Source organism: Homo sapiens, chromosome 3 (assembly GCF_000001405.40).
Source record: "Homo sapiens chromosome 3, GRCh38.p14 Primary Assembly".
Classification (NCBI taxonomy): Eukaryota; Metazoa; Chordata; class Mammalia; order Primates; family Hominidae; genus Homo; species Homo sapiens.
This window is the reverse complement of record NC_000003.12, coordinates 182,977,706-182,987,789: the sequence shown is the minus strand read 5'-3', so window position 1 is coordinate 182,987,789 and position 10,084 is coordinate 182,977,706. Positions and strand designations below refer to the sequence as shown.

Here is a 10,084-nt window from a genome sequence, read left to right as displayed (position 1 = left end):
ACATGCTTTTTTCCAATTGAACTATGCTAACTTTCCAAATACTAAATATTTCTGTGCTTACTCTTGGTTATATATAAATATTTCAGGTTTGTTTTGGTTTTTACTTATTTCTTGAAGGTTAGAGTACTATTACTCTCAATTGTTGAGCATCTACTCCAGCACAGCCACTGCTGAGGCACATGCTGGTCAATATGGTAGCCACTACCAAATGAGGCAACTGAACACTTGAAATATGGCTAGTCCAAATTAAGGTATACGTTAGGCATAATATACACATCAAATTTCAAAGACATACTTTGAAAAAAGAATGTAATATATGTCATTGATATTTTATATTGAGCACATGTTGAAATGCTGATATTTTGGATATCTTGGGTTAAATAAGATGCTAGAAACAGGCCCGGTGCAGTGGCTCATACTTGTAATCCCAGCACTTTGGGAGGCCGAGGGGGGCAGATCACTTGAGGTCAGGAGTTCGAGACCAGCCTGGCCAATATGGCGAAACCCCTTCTCTACTAAGAATACAGAAATTAGCCGGGCGTGTTGGTGGGTGCCTGTAATCCCAGCTACTTGGGGGGCTGAGGCAGGAGAATCACTTGAACCTGAGAGGCGGAGGTTGCAGTGAGCTGAGACCGAGCCACTGCACTCCAGCCTGGGCAACAGAGCGAGACAGTGTCTCAAATATTTAAAAAAAAAAGAGACGCTAGAAACAAAACAGGTGAAGCCTGTTGTTTCTTTTTACATTTATTTTACATTTGCTAGTTTATTTGTTTATTTTTTTTGAAACCGAGTTTTGTTCTTCCACCAGGCTGGAGCAAAGTGGTATGATCTTGGCTCAATGCAACCTCCGCCCTCCGGGTTCAAGCGATTCTCCTGCCTCAGCCTCCTGAGTAGCTGGGATTATAGGCACCCGCCACCATGCCTGGCTTATTTTTGTATTTTTAGTAGAGACAGTGTTTCGCTATGTTGGCCAGGCTGGTCTCAAACTCCTGACCTTGAGTGATCCACCAGCCTCGGCCTCCCAAAGTGCTGGGATTACAGACGTGAGCCACCGCGCCCAGCCCATTTGCTAGTTTATTTAAAGTATATAATAAAGGATACAAAAGACAATTTAGATGAAGAGAAGCACAGGGCAAGGCATTGTGGGAGTCCATGCGCCGTCCGGGGTGACGCTCTGCAGGCACCTCCACGTGTTCAGCAATCAGGATGCTCCTTACTTTGTAAAATGTCACTAAAAGGAAAGGTAAACTTTCTTATTTGCCCTGCATTTGTGACTTGCATCATATTTGTCAGACAGTGCTGGTCTCAGCACTTCATATATTTAGAGTGAATGAATTAGTGAAAAAATGCAACTGGCTGTACTTTTTCTGATCTTTGAGGGCAGCTCACAATAGTCTACCAGGAAGGAATCAAACAAAGTTACGGTTTGACAGAAATTTATTGTAATTCAACTCAATCTCATTTTGTAATTGAGAATGCTGAGGCTCAGGGCTATGTTCATGCTTTATATACTATTCACGGAATAGACAGGAAAGCGGTGGGTGATTCAATACCAGCATCCCTCTGTCATCATCGGTGGAAAATGTCTCAGTGAGGATTTCCAAAAGTATCCAGGGACAAACGTCCAGGATTCTAGAGGACCCTCTACCTTGCTACCTGTGGAACTGGATCACTCATTATGGTTTTCATGAATTCATTCTCTGCAATTGACCGGAGCTGTCAAGGACAAACACCCCAGGCTGAGCCTTGGTCTCATCTAGGAGTGGCCAAGCTGGGGTGGGCAGGGCGGTCCAGGGTAGACACTCTGGGACAGTGGGACATTGTGACATCATCATTGGTGGTCTTGGACAGTTTCTCATTGCTGGGTCTCCACTCCTAGCTGTTACTGCAAGTCCATGCCTCTACCATGAGGGTGGAGGAGTTAAGATCAACAGATCCACATGTACCTTGAGGTGACAGACTGGCTCTGGTGAATATTCCCATTTTCCTTTTTAGAAGGTGACCCACTGGAATACTGCTTTTGTTGGTTCTTTTGTATGAAAGGAGTACTGGTGCCCAACTTCCTAGGGATGGTTCCTGAGGTGTACCCCTTCGTTCTGATAAGAATCCCTTTTATAATGGTTCTTATTTATTTACTTTTAACTTTATTTTTTATTTTCTGAGACAGAGTTTCGCTCTTGTTGCCCAGGCTGAAGTGCAATGGCGTGATCTTGGCTCACCGCAACCTCCGCCTCCCGGGTTCAAGCGATTCTCCTGCCTCAGCCTCCCAAGTAGCTGGGATTACAGGCATGTGCCACCACACCCAGCTAATTTTGTATTTTTAGTAGAGACAGGGTTTTTCCATGTTAGTCAGGCTGGGTCACGAACTCCCGACCTCAGGTGATCCGCCCGCCTCGGCCTCCCAAAGTGCTGGGATTACAGGTGTGAGCCACCAAGTCCGGCCTTAGCATGGTTCTTAATGTGGATGAAAGAGGCCCAGGCAGTCATTCCTTTGGTATCACCAGTAACACTGGGGGGTGAGCCAAAAGGTTCTTCTGCTTCTAGCCTCCACTCTGGTAAGTTTGGTATGAGCTTTGGAACCGTGGCTTTCATGTTAGGCTTCCTGTGGCTTCACTAGGGCCCACTCTGACTGAGGCCTAGTCCTGTCTGCTTTACCCTTTAAAAAATGGTTATAATTCTGAATTCATAAGATCTAAATGCCATGTTTTACTGAAAACAAAATAGGTTCCATCAGTCAATCGCATTTACCCTTATGTATTTATAAATCAGCAAGCTTGAATCCAATAAGGACATTAGTGTAAATGTTGGGCAAAATTGAGAGCACCCAAGTTAAGTGTGGGAGGGTGGTGGCTGTGTATCTCAGACTAGTGGCTTTGAACTGTGTCTGTGTATAGTTTACCCTGCAGGCTTAATTTTAGCTAGATGAACTACCAGAAATGTTAGCAATCTGTCTTTTCAGATTACTTCTGCTCTTTCTGCTAAAGACAGATTCTAGAAGTATGAAATCTTTACTTTTACATGTTTCTTTGAGCAGAACTGCAACTATTTTATCAGTGAATATTATGTCTTAATATGAATTTTTAAGCTTTTGTGGCAAGAAGTATTTACGTATTTATGAGCACTATATTAATTTTTTCATCGTTTTAGGTATACAGTGAGAGGGAGTGTGTGTGTATGTGTTGGGGGTGGTGGGGTAGAGAGAGGAGGAGAGATAGACAAGATAGGCAATTTTGGCTAGATGTTTCCATCTTATTTCTTATTATTGTACTGAGATTGTTGCTATGGAAAATAGTCATTAGAACTCCTGTACTTGAAAAAACTCAAAGCCTTAACTTAAATATTTGAAACATGACAAAAAAAGTAATACGAGAATATTAGTTAATATTATTTTGTTAAATATTGTAATTTATACTTTATCTTCAGGATGCTTTTCCATTTAAAAAATAATCAGGACAATTTTAACAAATATGTTTATCTCACCCAATCATGATGATTGAGTAATAATTCTCCATTTCACATTCAGTACTGTAGCCAGGAAGTACAGTAATGGATACAGTTGCTACTACATTTACCATCTGACCATATGGTATAACATACATCTGCCAAGGAGAACAAGCATTCCTTTACAATAACAAACAATATAGGCACTGTCTTAAGACAGACATCAGTTACATATCTCTTTCTTTTCATTAATTTATCCCACTGTGACTATGTAGCACATATATGTCAGGCACTCACTTTGACACTGAAAACTCAAAGAATTGTGCAACCAGGTCTCTGACCTTAAGCAGTGCAGTCTGGCAGGGGAGATGGTCATGTTGGCAAATGCTTATCATATGAATGTCATAAGTGTAACAAAAGTATATGTAAGGTGTGGGGAGAAACTTGCCTAACTGCTGGAATCCAAGGATCAGGTCAGGAGACAATCATAGAGAAGATGGTCTTTGAGTTGAGTACTGAGATCTTGGTGGGAAATATAATGTGGTAATCAAGAGAATAGACTAACCAGATAGCCAGACTATCAGGTTTCAAATCCTAGCTCTGCTACTTGCTAGCTAGGGAATCTCTTTTTTTTTTTCTTTGAGGTGGAATCTCATTCTTCTTGCCCAGGCTGGAGTGCAGTGGCGCGATCTCAGCTCACTGCAACCTCTGCCTCCAGGGTTCAAGCGATTCTCCTGCCTCAGCCTCCGGACTAGCTGGGATTGCAGGCATGCGCAACCATGCCCGGTTAATTTTAGTAGAGATGGGATTTCGCCATGTTGGCCAGGCTGGTCTCGAACTCCTGAACTTAAGTTATCTGCCCGCCTTGGCATCCCCAAGTGCTGGGATTACAGGCGTGAGCCACTGCGCCTGGCCTAGCTAGGGAATTTTAGGCATATTATTTAATCTCTCTGTGCTTCCATTTTCCCCTTTGTAGGATGGGCGTAATAGCTGGGCATGCTCATAGGGTAGAAGTGAGGTTATATGAGTTAGTATGTGTCGCAGTGAGGATTACATAAATTAGTATGTGTCATGGGCTCAGTCAGTATTAGCTAGGAGGCCAGGGATAGGAGAATTGGAGAAAGCAAGGAAACATGCAGAGGTATGGCAGTCTTGGTTTGTGAAAACTGAAATATGAGGTGCATTTGGGTGGAGGGTGGTGGAAAATGGCAATGGGAATGGATAGATCAGAGGAGAGAACTTTAATGCCATTCCAGAGGCTCATGCTTATGCAGCTCTTGGAGAATTTTACGGACAAATTCACATTTGCATTATAGAAAGACAACTATGGAGCAGTGGAGAAGGAGTAGAGGCTGGAAGATTAGGTAAGAAGTTACTGATGAGGAGAGATGATAAAGAATTGGCTGGCCAGGCGCGGTGGCTCACGCCTGTGATCCCAGTACTTTGGGAGACCGAGGTGGGGCAGATCATGAGGTCAGGAGTTCGAGACCAGCCTGACAAACATGGTGAAACCCTGTTTCTATTAAAAATGCAAAAAGTAGCTGGGCATGGTGGCACACATCTGTAATCCCAGCTACTCGGTGGGGGCTGAGACAGGAGAATCGCTTGAACCTGGGAGGCGGAGGTTGCAGTGAGCTGAGATTGCGCCATTGTACTCCAGCCTGGGTGACAGAACTAGACTCCATCTCAAAAACAAACAAAAAAATACAACAACAAAAAGAATTGGCTAAGAAATAGAAGGCAGGGTGCAGATTTAAAAGTCATTTAGGAGGGAAAACTGGTGAGATGCGGAGTAAGGGGATGAGGCAGGAAGAGTGGTGGATGATTCTTAGATTTCTAGTTTGGATGATTTGATAAAAGGCAGGAGGAAAAGTGGGTTTGGGGATAAAGTTTTAGATTTGGTGAGCTTGATGGACCTGTGAAATGACCAGAATGAGTGTTTAGGCCTGTCACTTGGGGACTGGAAGTCAAGATTTGAGATTCCTCTTGATATGGGCAGTAGTTGACGTGGGAATGTGAGTGACAGCGTGACACAGGCTGTATACAGAAGGACGTTCAGGAATGGTCAGGAAAGCCTAAATTGAGTACAGCCAGCAAAGGAGAGTGGTCAGAGTAAAGAGGAGATGCAGGAGAAGGTGGAGTCATGGAAAATGAACAGGAAATTCAAGGAGGAAGTGTCCAAACGCAGGCGAGAGGTCAATTAGAATAACTAAGGCCTGTACCTTGGTAGAGCTTAGGAAAACCCACAAACGATTATTTCAATGGAGTAGAACAGATTGGAGTAAGAGATACAGTGAATCCTCCTCATTAACGCCCTAGGTGTTAATACTTTAGGTCAAAAGCTAGGTGAATTCCTGGAGAACCTCCGTGGATGTAGTCCAGTTTCAGGCTTGCTGCATGAGGCAGATCTGGCTTCTCCTTGCAGGACTATTTACCCAGAGCCCAGCAAGGAGCTTGGCACATTCACATGCATTCTTTAAATATTGGGGGAAAGAATGGATGAACGGTTTGTGGCCGCCAGAAACCTGCCTTGGTACAGCGCTGGGCGCTCCCAGTACATGGCTAGCTCCAGGAAGTTAGGAGGCCTTTGGGAGTTACCAAAGAAGTTCTGTTGTTTTGGTAAGAACAAATTCATTAGTTATAGGGTTGATCTGGTCGTTTAATGCCTGTGCTGGTGATGATGGTGATAACGGGTCTACTCAGGTGGGTCCTGTTCTGAAACGTAGGTAAGCTCTTGGTACAGTTTCAGATGTGACTTTCTGAGTGAGTTTGCTTTCTTAGCTGTTTTATTTCCTTCCTGTGTGAAGGTGTCTTATCTCTCCAACTGGATACTACATTTCTGAAGGGCAAGGACCACTTACTCCACAGGAGTCTTCTGTCCTCCTTGCAGCACGAATTTGTCCACTTGATCCTCAGCTCAGAATCCTAGTGCTCCTCAGCCTCAGTTGATTTAACGCCCAGGGCAGGTCACACCTGGACTGTCCGCCCTGCGTGACTAGACCCTCAGTGAAAAAATGTGTAGTTGCTTCCCGAAACTTATCCTGGGCGGGCCGAACTGAGGGGATACTGAGAGCTAGCAGTAGGCAGGCAACCTGGACTCCCGCAGCCCGGCCTTGGGTCTCAGTGCACCCCACCCCATCTCACTATAGGGTTACCCCAACTGTCTCCCAGTAGACAGGTCTGGGGAGAGCCTGGTCCTCACTAATGGAGTGACAGCCACCGCAGGGGGGGGACTAAGGTCTCCCCTGGGATGCCCACGCGAGGGAACTGATGTAGGTCTGATACTGAGATTGGGGGGAAAAAGAAGAAAACACGGGGCAGGGGGAGGTGTTTCCACTATCTTCTCCCTTTTTTTGATACTGATGGGGAGGGGAGGTCTGGGATGGATGAAGCTCCTCAACCATCCGTTTCAGCCGCCCCCAGCTGCTCAACTTATCCGCCGCCGCTCGTGCCCGCTTCCAGCCTGCGTAGACCCGGCCGTGGTCGTCCGGAAGGAACCGCGTAGGAAACGGAGGTGGGGTGTCCCCCGGCGCCCCCACCAGAGACCGCCCGGCGCGGCAGGAGGATGTCGGCGCGCGGAGGGCTTGCGTCGCCCGCCCCTCCCCCGCCGCGCCCCCCGCCCCCGCCCACTCCCCGGGGGACCCCCGCGCCCGGGGGAAGCCCCGCGCGGGGCGCCCTCCGCCTGCCTCCGTCCCTCCGCCTCCCCGAGGTCCGGGGCTGCCTCCTCGGGCCGCGCCGGGCCGCCCCGCACTGCGCATGAGCGGGAGCCGGGCAAGCCCGTGAGAGGAGCCGCCGCCGCCGCCGCCGTCCATTCGCTGCGGAGCCGGAGGAGGAGGGGAGAGGCCTGGAGGACACCAACATGGTGAGGCACTGCGGCCGCCCGCCCGCCCTGCCGGCTGGGGGCCGGCGCTGCCGCGCACCCCCGCCCCGGCCGCCCTCCGTCCCGCGGCGACCCTGCAGCCCCGAGCCTCGGCCCGCGGCCTCCGTCCCGCTCCCAGGCGGGGGCTCTCCTGCCTGCCTCTCCCTTCCTCCTTCGCCCCTTCCCGCCCGGGCGCAGCCGCTACGCGAGAGCCGAGGAGGCGGAGCGGAGCCGGGCCTAGTCGGGAGCCCCGGGGAGTTTGGGGCGCGGGGAGCGGCCCCGGTGCCCCTTGCCGGGGCCCGGCGCGGGTGGGGGAGGCGTTGGGGCGGGGGGAGGGGAGGGGGCAACGGCCTTGCCCCTGCCCCTCTGCCGGCTCCATTGTGTCTGGTCGGGGACTGGGGTCTGGGGTTCCGGGTGAGTAGCCTCCCCCCGCCCCGAAGCCGGGGCTTCCCTCTCCGCCCGGCCGGGGAGAAGGAAAGACTTTCCCGGCGCGCCTCTCCCTCCTCCGCTCCCGGCTCCAATACCCCGCAAGTCTCCCAGGCAGTTTTGCTTGGGGCGGGGTATCAGCCCTTTTCCTTTCTCCATCACCTCTCGAGGCGTCCCATGCTTTTGGAGAAGGAGAGTTTCCCCGGCCAGTTGGTGGAGGTTATATTTACCTCTCTACTGAAAACATGGGAGACTGCTGAGCTTGGGGGAGGGGGTACGGAAGTGCAACCTGTTCTCATTTCATAAAATTAGGGAACACAGACTAGCGAGCGCCCTTTCGAGCACCTATTTTATTTGCTTGGGGGTGGGAGGAGTAATTGCTTTATTATAGTAGTTAAGGGCCATTTGTGATTTTTTTTAAAACAGTTTGTCAAGTTACTCTCCTTTTTTGTTTGGGGGGGGGAAAAAGTCCTCTCCAGGCTTGCAGACCCTTGTGGTCGAGTTGTTTACTTTGGTAATTAAGTACCTGACTCTGCTGGACGCTCTTCGCGTTTCAGAAGCGCTGTTTGGCATTGTACAGTCTGAGCGTGAGTTGAATTCCGTGCAGGTTACTGTATGAATAGTAAAAATGATATTGTTGTCCTTTGCTCGTGGGGAACATAAAGGCCTCTTTGAGGAGGGTGTGTGTGCGCGCCTGTGTTAAGGGAATGCTCCAGTGTCTTTGTTTTTAGTTGGTCTTATTTTTGCTGAATGACACTTCTAGTCCCATCCTCCAGCTTGGCAGTATTTTGTTGTCATGTATGGATATATGGTTTAGTCTGACACATATTTAACACTTATGTTCTGTGGCAAGTTGTGTAGGAATTTACAGTTTGAATTGGTAAGAAAACTTTAAAGTGCAGGTTAATGTATAGATTAGTATTACAGTGTTCAGAGATCCACCAGGCAGTCTAAACAGTTTCTAGTTTCTTAAGTATTTAGATGGTCATAGACATTACTCCTGAAGTTTCCAGACTCTTAGCATTTAGATAAGTATAGTAAGCTCGAAGTAATGACGTTAATTCCCTGGGAAACACTCAGCCACAGCTGAAATGTGTGCTCTTCAGGATGGTCTCCAGATCCGCATCATCCCCTAGACAGTGGGGTCCCGGAAATACTCATCACCTGTTCAGGAATTCAGGCATCAAGTGGTTCGTAGGGAGAGTTCAGCTTGTAAGCTTCTATTCTTTTGGTTAATATTAAAATTAGCTAGTTTTGAAACTTAGCCATAACCCATGTAATTCTACCAGTGGTGACAAGATATTAATTTAAAACATATCCTGTGGCTGAACTCAGTTTATGTCATGAGAATTGTCGTGATATTCTCTGGTTTAGCTAACTCACCGTAGGGGCTGGGCACGGTGGCTCATGCCTGTAATCCCAGCACCCTGGGTCACCGAAGCAGGAGGATTGCTTGAGAGCCTAGGAGTTTGAGACCAGCCTGCGCAACATAGTAGTGAGACTCCATCCCAAGGAAAAAAAATAGCCAAGCATGCTGGTGCTAGCCTGTGGTTGCCCCTACTCCAGAGGATGAGGTGGGAGGATTACTTGAGCTGGGAGGTTGAGGCTGCTGTGAGCCCTGCCACTGCACCACTCCAGCCTGGCTAACAGACCTTGTCTCTTAAAAAAAATAATAAGAAAGGAAAGAGACTCACCACTGGCCCTAATCGAAGTTAGGCAGTAAGAATTTTATAGTTAAGAAGTTGTTTCATTATAAAGTTATCTTACATATATTTGTTTCTTTATGCAGTTTCGGGGCTGTGAGTTTTTTGGTGTCTGTAGCTGCAGCCCATTTCCAGAGCACATGTTATTGTCAGTTCTAGAGCAAACTTAAATGATGGGATATTTGAAATACTTTGTATAAGTAAAAAAGTTCTGTTAACTTCCTCCCTCCCCCCACACACAGACTAAAAACGACTCCAAAATTAGATAATATTCTGTTACTTTGGAACTTGTTTTTTGTTGTTGTTGTTTTTTTTTTTTTGAGATGGAGTTTTTGCTCTGTTGCCCAGGCTGGAGTGCAGTGGTGCAATCTTGGCTCACTGCAACCCGTGCCTCCTGGGTTCAAGCGATTCTCCAGCCTAAGCCTCCCAAGTAGCTGGGATTATAGGTGCCCGCCAACATACCCGGCTGATTTTTGTATTTTTAGTAGAGACGAGGTTTCACTATGTTGACCTGGCTGGTCTCGAACTCTTGACTTCAGGTGATCCACCTGCCTCGGCCGCCCAAGGTGCTAGGATTACAGGCGTGAGCCACCACGCCAGCCTGAAACATATTTTTAAAAAGTGTTCGGCTGAGTGCAGTGGCTCACGCCTGTAA

The 10,084-nt window shown here is 47.8% G+C and overlaps 1 protein-coding gene and 1 long non-coding RNA gene across 12 annotated transcripts in view, besides 2 other annotated features; one reads left to right on the top strand and one right to left on the bottom strand.

Annotated features, from left to right (window-relative positions):
- Positions 1–1,056: 1,056 nt before the first annotated feature.
- Positions 1,057–6,983, bottom strand: LOC105374246 (uncharacterized). The gene is made up of 2 exons (XR_924771.2): positions 6,303–6,983; positions 1,057–1,231 (listed from the first exon to the last, which is right to left on the bottom strand). It is a non-coding gene; the product is annotated as an uncharacterized LOC105374246 (long non-coding RNA).
- DCUN1D1 (defective in cullin neddylation 1 domain containing 1) overlaps positions 1,872–10,084 on the top strand; it is a 47,845-nt gene continuing 39,632 nt past the window's right edge. For 3 of the 11 annotated variants that reach the window (NM_020640.4, XM_047448338.1, XM_011512912.3), the window contains exon 1: positions 7,252–7,303. In NM_020640.4, coding sequence (NP_065691.2) covers positions 7,301–7,303 — 3 coding nt within the window. In that variant the 5' untranslated portion in view covers positions 7,252–7,300. Of the gene's footprint in view, positions 1,999–6,854; positions 6,956–7,251; positions 7,715–7,747; positions 7,946–10,084 lie in introns of those variants that run through there. The other 8 variants (NM_001308101.2, XM_011512914.2, XM_011512915.3 and 5 more) reach the window with 7 other exon arrangements.
- Positions 6,964–7,403: a silencer, noted in NCBI's record as "silent region_14935". NCBI's record gives its function as "represses an Ori minimal core promoter by ATAC-STARR-seq in GM12878 lymphoblastoid cells {active_cell/tissue: GM12878}" and the evidence as "EXISTENCE:reporter gene assay evidence [ECO:0000049][PMID:35858748]".
- Positions 7,464–7,583: a silencer, noted in NCBI's record as "silent region_14934". NCBI's record gives its function as "represses an Ori minimal core promoter by ATAC-STARR-seq in GM12878 lymphoblastoid cells {active_cell/tissue: GM12878}" and the evidence as "EXISTENCE:reporter gene assay evidence [ECO:0000049][PMID:35858748]".